Genomic DNA, 15,687 nt, shown 5'->3' with positions numbered 1-15,687 from the left:
GTTCCAGATAATATATTTGCTAGTAATAATACTTACTAAATGGAAAATCTTGGCATCTGTTAAGTTCAAATGAAAGAAAACTGTAGTGACAAGATTCTGCAGAAATGTAAAATACTGTATTTTTACACCTTGTGTTCAACATTGAAGTAACATACACACAAAGGTATGCCAATAACCTACATTTTAAGTAAAATACTTGCTTGTTTGATTTTGGAGCACATTAAATGCAGCTTACATCTATGCCTTTCACAGATATATATGGACTTTAAAATATTTTCAACTGACTGAAATTTACCGACAATATAAACAATATCCAGTCAGTTGTTATGTTCACAATACCTTTTATGATTCAGGTCAAGAAAGACAATTTTTGCAGAAATATATTAATATCTTTATTTTTTCTCAGAGCACTAACATGTTTATATCCCTTTTCTAGCCTATTTTCAATTGGAAAAAGAAAAGGCAGTCCCCATAGAATACTTGCAAAACATCAAACACACAGCAGTGGTAATCAAATGCAATCCAAACAGCCTTCCACAGTGCATGCTGCATGAACACCATAGCTATCTCCAGTGCATTAAATGAGCCTCCCCTCTAATAGGTGTTCTCATCCAGGTCGTCATATTCAGTGACACACACAGTGAAGATCTAATTCCAACTTGGATAGGCTCTAAATTTTATTATCTTAATTGGCACTTTCAGGGATGAGAAAATACAAGCTCAAAACCTTACTGCATCTTCAAACTCTGGATTTTAGAGACAGGTTGAGAGTTTCCCTACAGTGTTCTATGTTGCCATTCAAATATGCTAAGCCTCCAAAAGGCTGAGCTGGTATTCTATTAAACTTTTTTTTCCTATTGTGTTAACTAAACAATTATTCTTCTTATTCAAGTTGCATTTATCATGGTCTTAATAAGCAGAAATGACATACTCTTTTTTTGCAGAACAGAATTTAACTTCCTGCCTAGTATTCATATCCTTAATTCATGGACAGTGTGCCACTACTGAAGACAGAGGAGATGGACAAAAAGTGTTGGGAACATTTACTTTATAGAGACTAAAAAAATAAGAGGGATAGTTCCTTTGTTCAAATGAGTAAAACTCTTCATTGAGAAGCATTTTCGTTTATAGCCATTTCCATATTCTCTTTAGTTACATCCACTGTATTTCAGTGTTGCTAAAATTTAAACATATTGGTTAAAATCTTCGGTTCTGACTCATCAATTCCACTCCTAGGTGTATGTCCACACAAAAACGATTCCAGATTATTCATAGGGTCACTGTTCACAACAGTCAAAATATTTAGACAACCTAAATGTCCATCAACTAAAGAATGGATAAATAAAATGTAGTATATCTAAAATGATGAAATATTATTTGGCCATAAAAAGGAATGAAGTACTGATGCACACGACAATATGGCTAAACTTTGAAAATAGGATGCCAAGCAAGATAAGCCAGTCACAAGAGACCACATATTGTATGATTCCATTTATATAAAACATCCAGACGAGGCACAGAGAAAGAGATTATTGTTGGTCTAGGGAGGGATTGAGGAGAAATGGGAAGCGACTGTGAACAGGTGGGGTTTCATTTTGGGATGACAAATATATTCTAAAATTGATAATGCTGATGGTTATACAATTCTGTGAATACACTAAAAACACTGAATTGTACAATTTAAATGTGTTAGTTGTATGACATAAGAATTATACCATAATTATTCCACTCAAAAAAGCTGTTCAGAAAAAGATTTGGTTGAGAATTTCCCTTAAGGTTTTCCAATCTTTTCAATAATACATTCACAATGGGGTTTACAATAGAAATTTCAAATGATGGGTAGTTTTTTTGTGTATATTTACAAAACAAGGGTTATTTTGATGAAAATTGAAAAAGTGAGTCATTCATTTTGATTTCTAAGCACCCAGATGACTACCTCTTACGTGAGGATTCTGGGTAAATAAAGCTAAGGAGACCTCTCCTTGTCATGATATTTGCACATTTCAGAGAGACTCTGCAGTGTTGTTTACTCTCTGTTGCCGTCCTGATCTGAAAACCTCTTCATACTGACTCTGGACTTTCTTACAGAGGGTAACCTTTTTCAAGTTCAAAGCCAAGGTCATGTCCCTTCAGCTCAAATCCAGACTTGAGGCATAAATCTTTCAGAAAAGATCCTTCCACACTTGCATCACCAAAGACTCTGACTCATGTCACAATAAAGCAACTTTCATTAAGTTACAGCATTGAATGTACCTTCACTTGATGGATTCTGAAAAACTGTTCTATCTTTCCCCATTCCCATGACAGCTGTCATCATGTCACAAATAGAAAAAAGTTTTGTTTTTTTTTTTTTTTTAAGGTCTCTTGCTTTCCTGAGATTTGTCACCACTAGGAGCAACATAATATGCAATGTTACTAAGGGGAAATCAACAGTGTATAGGAAACTAGAGAATGCATATATTAGAAAAGCCCACATTTCACTTTCATAAGCCACAGGGTGAAAAATAAAGAAACAAACAAGAGTGTCTTTCATAATACTCCAGAACATTCCATATAGAACAGGTCTGTTTTGTCTCCAGTACATACCTCAATTCCTAGACTCTGGAGATAGCATCTATTCTAGCCATGACATTCACAATCTTTTACTTCACATATCTTTAAATAACTATCTACAAGACTCAGATGTCAGGCAAAGATGTACCAGATCAATTTAGGACAGAAAGCAAAGATTTAGGGCATAAAATAGTGTAATACAAAATGAGATGCAAACTTTTCACTTGACAGGTGGACAGAGCTATCAATCTAGTACTTTTTATTTTCTGATTTCAAATAACAATACAGTGAGACAAAGATGAAAGAAAAAGACACTCAAGAAAGAATTCCTCAGTTGGGAAATCTCATGTGGGCTGAACAGGGAATTCCACATGGTCTTTATCCTTATTACTCAAGTGTTATCTGTGGACCACCAAGACTGACATCATATGGGAGCTAATTAAAAATTCAGAGTCTTGAGTCCCAGTCAGTCTAACTGAATCAGAATCTGCATTTCCACACACTAATGTTTAAGAAGCACTGTCCAAACTGTTTTTCTACTAGCATCACTACCTAATGTTTGCACTCTTCGGTCATTGAAATAGTGCGTTTCTTATTATTAATAGCCAGTAAGTCAAATTAACATGAGAAAAAATATGTAATACAAGATAACAATACTGTATTGTGAAATTAATTATGATCCAAAGTTCAAAATATCAGATTTCTCATGTGAGAGCTATCCTAAAGCCTTAATATTGATGTCAGGCTAAGAGATATTGTAAATCAATTGATATTTAAGACTACATCGTTTGTTAGAGTCTCTGTGGAAAATGCAACCACCTTGTTAATACTGAGTATAGAGCTTTAACTTTAAAATACTACATCAATTTGAATCATGTTGCAACTTTGCATAAAAAGGCATGTTTCTAGACTATGGAAGTAAAGCATATTGTACTGGTAGTAATGTAATATCTTTCATATTAATTATTCACACACACACACACACACACACACACACACACACACACACAAACTGCTTAGGCAGGCCACATGCCATAAAATCTAATGATGTCAGTAGAGGATTTGCCTGCCTGATAATGGATAAATAAACCCCTAAGTGCTCTGTGTTTAATTAAAAAGCAGAGTTAGAAGGTTATTGAGCCTGTAGGCTCCAAACAGTAATGATCATTCCTCTCATCTTTTTTTAGGATCACACGGGATCAGGACCACTTTACCAAAGCTTAGAGCCAACTCTCTTTAGTGATAAGCACGATTACTTTTGCGCCTCTGATGATGTCAGATGCCCCCACAAATCACTCCACAGTGTTGAGCCCTCTGATAGTAGAAAAAAAGACAAAGCTGTCATCTACTCTGTAACTCCTTCTAGCTGGCTACTTCAAAACTTAGGTAAGCTTCTGAGTTACCAAAGGGAAGTCCGAAGGGAGAGAAAAGTCAATAGACTTGGGGGAAAGAAATTACAAAGTAGATAAACACTATATATTTTACTACCAATTTTCTTTTTATACGGTGAAATGAAAATAGTGCACTAAGAGCTCTTTTGCACTTAGTTGCTATAATATTTACTTCTAAATTATTATCTTTAATAGTAATAGCACTTTGCAGTTGTAAAACTTGTTCAAAAAAGCTCAAAATGCTTCCTTCCTCACATATTCATTCAACTCTACTTAAAACCATGTCCTAGGGAGGGATGGCTGTACCCTTATCTAGAAGTTATAAATAGGTTTCAAAATAGTCAATTTGGTCAACTCCACCATTTAAGGCAGGCAGAAACAAAAACACCTGAGAAATGAGTGACTTATTGCGGGGGGTGGGGGGGATGGGTAGAGGTCCACCCTTGTTCACAGAAACAAAATGAAGCAGAGGCCTGCTTCAGTAGCTGGATGGCCTGATTACAAAATCCTATCTTCAAACAAATAAGAGTTTGCCTCAATTACTCAGCTATTCTAGGCCCACATAATTTTGAGTTCACAAAAATATCTGAAAAACTTTTGTTCATCCACTTCATATGGCCTATATGAGATCAACTTAAATACCACAGAAGTATGTTCAGCTGGGCAAAACAGCCAACAGAGCAAGAAGAAGTAGTGAAAATAGGGACAAGGCGCCTCAGATCCAAAGGGTGGCTTGGAGAACACTGCCTTTCCTTTTTGTCACCATACTAGAATGCACGTACTTTCGTAAGGGTAGTAATTTTGTTTGTTTGTTCATATTGTTCATTTTCTATCTCTGAACTCTAGAACAAACAGTATGAGGTAAATGGCAGGAATTTAATTAATAATAAGTTAAATGAATTAATAAATATAGGCCAGTGGTCCTCAAGATGGGACCACCTGGTGATTCTGTCATCTGCACAGGTACGCAAGAAAAATGACTGTGCTTAAACAGCCCAGCACTGTGTTCTCTGTTCCTTTATCAGATAGAATGTCTAAAATGTCTAGTGGAAAATTAAATGGAATTTAGGCTCTATCTTGTGGTTTAAAAAAAAGTGTAAATTAGACCATTTTTCTATCCCTCTCATTTGCAGATTTCCTCTATTTGCCCAATTAATCAGTGAGTATCAAAAGTTTTTTTAAAAAAGGAAAAAAGGGCTGGATGTGGTGACTCATGCCTGTAATCTTAGCATTTTGGGAGGCAGAGGTAGGTGGATCACCAGAGGTCAGGAGTTCGAGACCAGCCTGGCCAACATTGTGAAACCCCCGTCTCTACTAAAAATACAACAATTAGCAGCGTGTGGTAGCAGGTGCTTATAATCCCAGCTACCCAGGAGGCTGAGGCACAAGAATCACTTGAGCCCAGATGGTGAATGTTGCAGTGAACCAAGATTGTGCCACTGCACTCCAGCCTGGGCTACAGAGTGAAACTCAATCTCAAAAAAAAAAAAAAAAAAAAAAAAAAAAAAAGGAAGCAATCACCAACCTATCTTTTTCTATGGTAATGTAAATCATGACTGGCAACTTTAGCACCCCAGTAGAAATAAAAATATTAAATATGTTAGTAAAATCAGTAACTACAATATAGTCTATTGACCTGAATTACTTAGGCATAGCAAAATATATTTATTGAATTCTGTGTCATTAACTTCAGACTCATACCTGTAATATGATTTCTTAAATCTGATCCTTATAAACTGACAATGAATGAAACATATTAGGGTTTAAAAAAAGCCTTGTAGGAATCCTTACATGCTTTACCTCATTCTCTTAGGTTCCTCCCTAGAAGTACCCAAGATGGATCATTAACACAGGTTCCCTCTCTTAGGTAGAGTATATGCCACTTCATGATGTGAATCCGCATATTTTTCCCGCAACCAATGAGAGATGCCTCAAATAACTTACCATAGAAGTTGAAAACTGGATGTTATGAATTCGATAGATGCGTTTAGCTTTCACACATTTTAAAAATAAACAGCAATATTTAAAATTTTTGAGATACAGCAACACTGGCCCCACAATCCAACATGGCCACAACACTTAGGAGGAACCCTGATGCACCGTTCTTTACAGACCCTGTGGACTCCCTATTGCCTGACAACTGGTCCACCTCACACTTCGTGTGTTCAGCCTGGTTTCTGCAGGTCTTTGGTTCTGGGTTATCTGGCTGCCAATAGAGTTCTAGCTTCGTGGTACAGAATGTGAAAAGAAATGCAAGAATGACTTTCTTGCCAGAGAAGGGAACCCATATGGGGCTCTGGAAATTCTAGATTCTATCCCTAGACAGACTACAAGAAGACCATTCTGTCTTGGATAAGCCTCTGGACCTACTGGTAGAGGAACAGACAAGACAATCTGTAGATCATGTCCAGGCCTAAAATTCCATAATTGAATGTCACCATTTTCCTTGTTGGCTAGGGTGTCATCCTTAGACACACAAGAAATAACTTATGGCAAGGTCACTTGTGAGGGATGGCAGAAGAGCCCTTATCAGAATATGCCACTTTGGCAAAAGGATTATTTTGAGCTAAAGACACTTGAAACACAGTTGGTACAAGGAGGGCAAGCCGATCTTCCCTTTTCATTGTCACATCAGGAGATAAAACTCCTATGTGAAAGATGTCTTCCCTAAACCAGGAGAAAAGAAACATTCTTATCACTAGAGACAGGGAGTCAAAACCAAGGGTATTCTGTACAAACAGATCTTGTTAAAATAACTCATATTTTTCTTTAGTTGCCCCATATATTTTAGTTATTTTCCTACAATTGCCTCTCTTTGTTCAACCTAATATAGAAGCACTTAGGTTTTGCCACTTCTTTGGGTCTTCATTTTCCTGTGGCGGCTCCCATGTAAATGTGAAAAATCTGTATGATTTTCTTCTATTAGTCTGTTTTGTGTAGATTTAAGTCTCAGGCCCACAGGCAAAGTTCTACCTTCCCTATACTTCCACATCATCATCACAAGTTCTGCTACATTCAAGAATCGCTTCCAAAATTGCTTATCAAAACTTTTAGGTTTATCCATTTAGCCATGGGCTAAACAATTCTATCTGTAAAACTATATGTTTTATTTACTAGTTATATATTTTTTATCTTTAACATATCTATTAAAAATTCCTGAGTACTCTGAGATTATCAAACATTCTACCAGAGGTATTTATTTCATACCTTGAGAAAACTCTGTGATGCTCAAAGTTCACCAAAACAGATATATTAGAAGAACTGTCAGAGCCTTAACCAGACTTGCAGACATGTTCCTAATTTTCTAGATTATTTTGCGACCGAAGACTGTCATGTACAACATCAAGAATGTTTCTCAAGTGAAATAGTTCAGTCTATCACTTTACATGAACATTCTGAGTATTATTCATGTATTACGAAAATGATTTGGAAAAAAAATCCTATTATAATCAACGTATCATTTAGACACAGCCCTTGATGAACATTAAAGGTTTGCAAAGATCTTAGCCTAGATGCGTGCATGTGCGTGTGTGCACACACACACACACACACATATTAACCTAAGAAACTGTTTTCCTCCTAATAATTTAGGTAAGAAAGTTTAAAAGTAAAGCCATTTTTAAAGCCTTTCACATCTCTTAAATGTACTCACATGCCACAAAAGGTACTTTCAACAAGAAATATAATACTACAAGAGAGGTTAACAACAGCAATCAACCGAATACCCTTGTGGATTCCTGCAGGGAGAGGTAGGGGAGGGGGACTCTAGGGAAGGATTGTGTCAGTCTAAATCTGTTGCTATTCTTCTCTCTAAGCACAAAGCCAGACAGCTGGATGGGAGTAGGAGTCACACACCTTAAATTACCAGATTCACACTTAACACACACATCAAAAAGATGCCAGAGACCATGTTTGAACACATGATTTGTTCTCTTCTGAGAGATGGTGGTTGTTTTCACCCCTGGAGTCAAGCATTATGCCTGTGTGTGAGCAGCTTTACCTATCTGAAAGGCACACACATATACAATGAATTCTAACCAGCGAGGAGGCAAAGTTCTTGCAAATGACCGTGTTTAATTAGTGGTATGACTCATTGAGTCCATGTCCAGCAGACAAGGTTATTTATCTAAATGCTTGGAAGACCTAAACATATTACTCTGGACAAAGTGCTTGGTAAAGGAAAAGTGAAGTGAAAGGATTTCAAGAAGTCATTCAGTATTGCATGGCATTACGCCCTACCGTAAGAACTTATTTACTCTCTGAAAGGTTGAAGTGATTTAATAAAATCAACCTCCTCAAACTCAGTCTTCTCACACCATCTCCTAGGACTATTTGGGGTAATACAGATCATTGGAGGGAGGAGTGGGGGATCAGAAACACAGACATTGGTAGAAGGATCAAGGTAATTTACTGGCAGCCTGTAAAAACTGCTATATAGTTTCCATAAATACATATTTATCAATATCTACTGAACTAGATGGAATATCCCCATTAACTACTCCAGAAACACTCACTGAAATAAGACAGACTGACTACGGTGTCACAATACCCACTTCATTTAAGATAATTACATTGTTAAAGTGTGTCAGCCAGTACAGTCAAATCCAACAGCACTCCTTTTTCTCTGTATCTCTTCACTGATCCAAATGTCTTAATTATTTCACAGTAACTTAGCAATACCTATGCAAAATATTTTTGAATTAGTCCCAATGTCCTTACACTTGATATATTTCATTCACTCACAATTTTCCTTTGCAGAATGAAACCACATCTCTTCCAACCACAATACAGTCATTCCTCTACTTCCTTATTTACATTTTTTTTTCTTTCTTTCTTTTGTTATTGCTTGCTTGCAGGGCACTCAAATTTCTATCCACTGATATAGGGTTTCCTTCTGGCAAGCATTAAATCTGTCTCCTTTAGTCCCCTGTGCCAAATGCCTGGCATAGTCAGCTTCTCTAAATTCTGCCATATCTTCAGAATGTATAGCCCTGCATTTTATATCTAACCATAAGAAACACTTTATTCCTTTGCAGCTCCTTCTGATGTGTTCCTCTCAATTTTAAATCACCCCATTCCTCCCTTAAAACATAGAGAAATTTCATGCAAAAATGCAGAAGGACTTCCCTTCTTACTTTGGAATAGAGGTGAAGACATGAAGCCATGTACAAGCCCTAGAGTCATGTCTATGTCCAATTTACTTTACCTTTTTAACTATACAATAAAACAGTCGGATAAGCCATTGGAGCTATTAACTAAGTAATATTGAATTGAACATCTCAAGTCAACAGAGGTACTAGATTAAAACCAAAAGCAATGTCCCTGAAGCTGCTTGGTAACTTTATAATCAAGGATTTGAGAGCCACAAATTATCAAACATTATCTGTCAGTATAATCTAGTTTGCATTGAAATAGTTCCTAAGTACAAAATCATTTTGGTCATAGATGGATGCACGACGATAAAACAAATTATTTCACATTACGGATTCTACTTACAACAGGCCTGCTGCCTAAAAAGCCAGGATATCTACTCAGTTTTATGAGATTTGGAAAATTAATTTTATACTCTGCATCAAAAATATATATATATATGCATCAAATATAGCCTACAAGTTCAATAAGGAATAACATTAATATTCAAACTCCAGAATAGTAAGACACATATAGAGACCTCCCAATAATAAAAATGGAGAGAAAAATGAGTATTTCAACTAACATTTAAAAGCTGTCATAACACTACCCTGATCTGAAATAAGATGAGCCCATCCAAGCTATTACTGTCATCAAATGGCCACTTATCATCCATCTTGGAGTACACTTGATGTTAAAAAATATTTATAAGTGTGTGTGTATATATATATAGTCAACTGTACAGTAAAATATTAGTCCGTAAATTTTTGTGCCATTCCATCTATTCCATTTAACAGTGGAAGAAACAAAAAGCACTACAATCCATGTCCTACAAGTATAAATTATGAAATTAATTTAGCTTTTTCCAGTATCTGCAGTAAAGATTCTCAAATGAAGTGTATTCACAAGTTGGTTCGAGTATATCAAGAAGCACTCATTAGTGATGGATTTAGTAACTTCTTCATCTGCTGTTTTCAACTAAGAGGACTTATCTAGTGATAAGCAATCCTAAGATTACAAGAAGTGTATCATTAAAAAAACTTTCCATAAAATATTTTTCCTATCTCATGTTTCACAAAGTTGCTTACTTCATTATGTGGACGGGTATCTATTTGTTAATAAAATGATGTATGCCTTTTATTTTTCCATACTGTTTGGCAAGACAATTTCTTACAGAAAAATCAAATCATTCGATGAACATATTTTCTCTTTTTAAAAATCAAGCTCTTTAATATCCTGCTACCTTGAAATGGGCTATTGTTTGTGCACTTGTTTTATTTTTAAAGTAAATATTGTTAGCTTAATACATTAAGATAAATCCTTCACCTTAATCATCTTCAATTTAGAGTATAAGATTAACAACACTCTTATTTTAAAAATTAACATGGGCAATCTATACACACTTACATATGCAGCATAACTTTCTGGGTCCCTGCTGCACATACATGCCTAAAGCTAAGTAATTCTAATATATAACAGAGCAGTATATCAGTAAGTCATTGATACTTCAATGAACTATCATAAGAGAAAGCCGCAAACAGGTTATGCAAATGAGCAGACAATCCGAACCTCGTTTCTAAAGTCACACTTGACTTGAGGACAATTAACTGATGAAAAAGAGAGAGAGGGAGGCAGAGGGAGAGGAGAACAGGGAACGGGACAGACAGGGAGAAGGAGAAGGGTAGAAAGAGAGAGAGGGAGGGGGTAGCAGAAGATGGAGGGAAGGGAAGGAAGAAAAAGGGAGGAAGAAAGAAAGAGAAATGAAAGAAGAAAAAATGAAAGCATCCTAGTGAAATATTGTTTAAAATGACAGCTAAGTCACATGTCACCCTGTCCCTAGGCAATTTGAAGGCCGTTCCAGGCATGAATGCCCAGTTAGAATAAGATGTCATGAGTTCGTAACTTTCTTAACCTCGGAAGGATCACAGAAATCATACTTCATTTTACTGGGGGCTATTGAGGCACAGAGAGGTAAAGCAGCTTGTTAGAGTTGCACAGCATCTTACAGGAGGTTAACTCAATCTTTCACTGTTACTAGAGATAACCAATGGAGTGTATACTTTGACAATGCACAGTTAAGGCTTGATAACATTTAAAATCATCCAAAAGTATTACAGTTACTAAATTAATTATTTTTCATTCAGTCATATTCATTTTTTTTTTTTTAAAGACAGAGTTTCACTAAGTTACCCAGGCTGGCCTCAAACTCCTAGGCTCGACCTATCCTCCCACCTCAGCCTCCCTGGTAGCTGGGACTACAGGCCTGTGCCACCACACCCAGCTCATATTCACTCTTTAACTTGTCATCATAGAGACAGTTCACAGAACTGCATTCCTTGCTTCACAGTGGCTGCCCTAAGCTGTTAAGGAGGGTTAGGGTATGATTTGTGTGCAGAGGTCCTGCTTCCAAATGCCGCTGAGGACGTTATAAAGTCCTCTTTGTGCTTAAGCCGGCAGCTCTGGGGTCAAACAAAACAGTCTGCCGAGGGTCCAAAACAAAGAATGCAAGGAGATTTAACTCTCTGCTGCTGTATCCCAATTTACAAAATTCTTTCCACTTGGCTCAACCCCAGGGCTTTCTAGGAACTAAAGAGCTAGTGTACTTGGGTAGCACAGAAATTGTCCACAATGTTGTTGGGTAGATTTGTATGCATGCAAACACGTACAGAGATGCACTATCTTTACATATACAATTCAAGACTTTTCCTTTATTCTCTTTCATAGCACTTTAAATTTATTTTGAAGACCAAATTGTTATGGCTTTAGAAGTACCTCTTACAAGGTATATCTGGCTTCCCGATCTGTCAAGAGACCACATACCCTAAACTGACCCCTGGAGAGTTCAATCCACTTTCCTGCAGATTAAGCAAACAACTAGGAAGACAGTGTCCCAATTTTATAAAATTATCTAAACATTCCGAAAGTAATAGAAGCAAACTACAAATCTTGCAAATACCTCTCTGAGATTTGTGGTGACTGACTACAAAAATGTTTAATATTGTAAGGTATAAGTTGAAATTTCTAAATATTTGAATGGAAAATAAAAATCAAATTTAACTACATTGGGAAGATACTCCTCTACAGAAGGCAATCGTTTCTGCTAAGTACAAATAAAGGGGTTCGGGACCCTGAAAAAAAAAGAAATCGAAACTCAAAAGAACACTATTTACTCAACCAAGTAGATACAAATTAAGCATTTGTTTAAAAAAAATCACTGGACCTTAACTAATCCTATTTCTGAACAGAAAAATCCATAAATCCCTCTTAAAACAAGATCACATCTTGCACAAGATCATATACTTGCAGTAGTCAGAAAAACACTAACAGTTATTTAAAAATATAGCTAAGGGTTCACCAGGAATCATCACTCACAAAGGTCAGTTCAGTTTTGTAAGAAGGCATGAGGCCAGCCTTTTGTTTAGGGACCATATAGCCATCAAAACCACTTGCCGTTACTTCAGATTTCATTAGCAGGCCTTTTTGCACACTTACTTTTTTCCAGAGAACTGATTACTTGGCAAGGACAGCCCTGGGACTGTTTGCTACTCAGAGGTACCAGAGTCCGTCTTTTGCTTCATCTTACCAGATGTTAAGCATTCTGTACTGTTTTGTGATCATTTTCCCTCCAAATCTCAAGCTCTGAAAATGCCTGTGCTCATGTAGACAACCATCTATTTTGAGTCTTCTCTCTCTTGCACAGTTCCTCTCCACCAAATCTAATGAGAACATACTCTGTCCTCACCAGTAAGATGCTTCTGTACTTCACAGTCTGTGGTTTTTCTCTGCCTTGAGACTTACTGCCTACTCAGGGAAACTGTATTTCCCACTCTGGAAATTATGGGACCATCAGGCTCCATGGTCTCAAGCTCAGTGTGGAAACTTCAATTCCCCTTTTCAGGTATTCATGATTTTAAGTTCACTTTGGTTCACATTAGCCCTGGCCATTGGTTCATGCTGTTCAAGCCACTTTTATTCAAATTCAATTTTTACAACAGCTCAATTATTCCACTTTTAATAAAAAAAGACAGGTGTGATTTATGTTTAGGTTAGGGAAACAGAAAAATCCACAAATCCCTTTCCACAGTGATAACAATCTTTAATTTCACTAAGGCATTGATCATGTGAAAGACATCATGCAAACATTATTAACAATATTAAATTCTAATAGCATTTTTACAATGAATCTTGCATGAATAATAAATATTAATTTGATAGATGGCATTTGAGGATACATAAAAAGATAAATGAACCAAATTTAAAGTGATTTTTTTTGTTTTTTTAATTCACATTACTTCTTAAGAAGTGGTGCATTCAAAAGCAATAAGGGGCTAAACACAGACTCTTATTTTATGTACTGTCTCATAAAAAAGGAGATATACAGTTTATATTTGCAAATATTCCAAACAGTTATCCTGCCCACCTCCATGGCAAAGTTTCTAAACAGCATGCAACTGAAAAACAAGAGAAACTTTTCTGTTTCTGCCTTTCTTAGTAGCAGCAGAGAACAGCAAAATAAACTATGTTAAATTTAAATTCTGGAAATACAGGCACTTCTTTTATACAGGCATGCATATAAAGATTATCTCTTTATATATATATTAGTTTTACTTACATTTTTCTTGCAATGGCCAGAGGTACAGAAGAAGATAAATATATGCTCTAATCATCCTGGCACCAAAGATAATGCAACCACACTCCCAAATTAAAAACAAAGCCAATAATTTCTAATTTCTATAAAAGCATTCTGAAAGGCTCCTATTTCCTTGTATGAATCAATTATATAAGAGATTTAACAGAAACAGCAAGCTCTAAACAGATCACACTCTACCTCACCAGCTTGATTCAACAAAGAGCAATGGAACAGAAAATCAAATGCAGCTTGCAAAGTCACATTCACATGGAGCTGTAGGGAGAAAGAGGGGGGTAAAACCTGGTACTTACAGACTGTAAAGTAAAATGTCCCAGTTTCGCTTTACATGTTACAGCAAATCAAACAGAGATTTCAGCTCTCAGCAAGTCCCTGCTTCCACTACACTGATCATCCACGCAGAACAGGCCCTTATGGATTGCTTAGGCAGCTGGGAGATAATGGGACCATATTCTCAGCTGGGACTAGAGATGCTGAACTGCTCTCCGCTGCGCGCTGCATGGCTCTCCGCCAGCATTCATCAAGGAGGACCCAGCTTCCTGGCTGTGTTCCCCAAAGGATCGACATAATTAGCACACGAATCAAAGACGCACACTGGGAGAATCACACACATCTCTAACTGGCTCTCCTCGCATCGAACCTGATTAGGAAATCAAGTTTGTTCTCCGATCAAATGTGTTCAACCTTTCAAAAATACACAGAGGCTCACACAGCTGTTGATAGATTTCGGGGGAGGGATGGAGATTAAGGCTTCTTTCCCAATGGGCAATTTATGTAATTCCTCAACTACAGAATATAATTACACTGGTTGTTTGGTACATAGGGTGGGTTTGCCCTATGATTCGGTTTGTCTGTTAGGGATTCTCAGCAGCTCCCAAGAAGGTTGTGGGTAGCAGCATCATCTCTTCTACGGATTTTATGCGACATACACGTGTATGTTCTTTTCAGAGTCAGTCTTTGGGGACACTGGCTGAACTAAAGCTGGTGTTTATGGGGGTGTTTCATGTTCCCCAAGTCGTGCCTCTTCATTGAATACTAGAAGTCCAGGGCATTCAAAGCAAAAGGGTTTGGCATGGCACACTTGGGACATCTAGTATTCTAAAAGGAACTGGTGATATGGATTCCATTTGCATAACTGTAAGAACACTCCTCCTTACTCTGTCTGCATCGTGATGCAGTCAGGGGTTATAAACCAGTAGCCTGTGGACATGCTTGGTCTGGCAAGAGAGAGATTTGAGAATCTGAATGTGAACATTTTTAAACAGAACATGTGTTCTGCGCTTTATCAAAACCTTGCCACACACGCTTTTGCCCAGACATGCTACCTGCTGGCCCCGGAAGACATTTGTTTATGTAAATTTGACCTTAGTTAAGCAAGTCTGGGTTATGGATATAAAACATTCCATTTTAGAAAAAGGGAGACTCAGCGCCTGTGTCACTCATAAAAAGGCTGTGATTAAGGCACCCGTGTGATCATTTAAAGTCCACCACACGCAAAGCAGCCAGTAGTTAAGGAGCCTGTATGATAAAGAAGGGAGAACATTGAGGGAGTCAGAAATCTGAGTTCTAATCCTCATCTTGCTGCAAAAACAAACAAATAAACAACAAAAAAAAACCCCAAACAAACAAACAGGTGATCTACACCTTTGTGAGTCTTAGTTTTCTTTTCTGTACAATAAGGGCTTTGCTGCAGACCTCTGAGAACGCTTACAATGTGACATTCTATTCTTGTCCTAAGATCTAGAAAATAGACCTTCACTAGAAAGGTGCTTACACCTCGTAATAGCACTGGGGTGACGGGAGTGAAATAAAGTCATGCTTTTTTGACTGGCAAAAATTTGGGGATGGAGGGTCTTTGTTACCTTTAGGGGCCAGTGATCAACTGGCTACTAACCAGCTGTTTCAGAAAACTTGAAACATCATGCTCAGTAAGTGTGAGTAAATTTTAAATGTGTGGGGAAAAAA

At 37.0% G+C, this 15,687-nt stretch overlaps 1 protein-coding gene across 35 annotated transcripts in view; it reads right to left on the bottom strand.

The window, feature by feature from the left end:
• Positions 1–15,687, bottom strand: part of CNTN4 (contactin 4) — a 959,094-nt gene that overhangs the window by 532,247 nt on the left and 411,160 nt on the right. For 2 of the 35 annotated variants that reach the window (XM_011533430.3, XM_017005787.2), the window contains exon 1: positions 13,687–14,110. The exons of 31 other annotated variants lie outside the window; for them this stretch is intronic. The gene's annotated coding sequence lies outside the window, so the exon portion shown is untranslated. Of the gene's footprint in view, positions 1–13,686; positions 14,111–15,687 lie in introns of those variants that run through there. 2 more of the 35 variants (XM_011533428.3, XM_017005786.2) reach the window with 1 other exon arrangement.

This window comes from Homo sapiens, chromosome 3, assembly GCF_000001405.40.
Source record: "Homo sapiens chromosome 3, GRCh38.p14 Primary Assembly".
Classification (NCBI taxonomy): domain Eukaryota; kingdom Metazoa; phylum Chordata; class Mammalia; order Primates; family Hominidae; genus Homo; species Homo sapiens.
The sequence above is the reverse complement of the archived record's forward strand: the minus strand, read 5'-3'. Positions and strand labels throughout refer to the sequence as shown.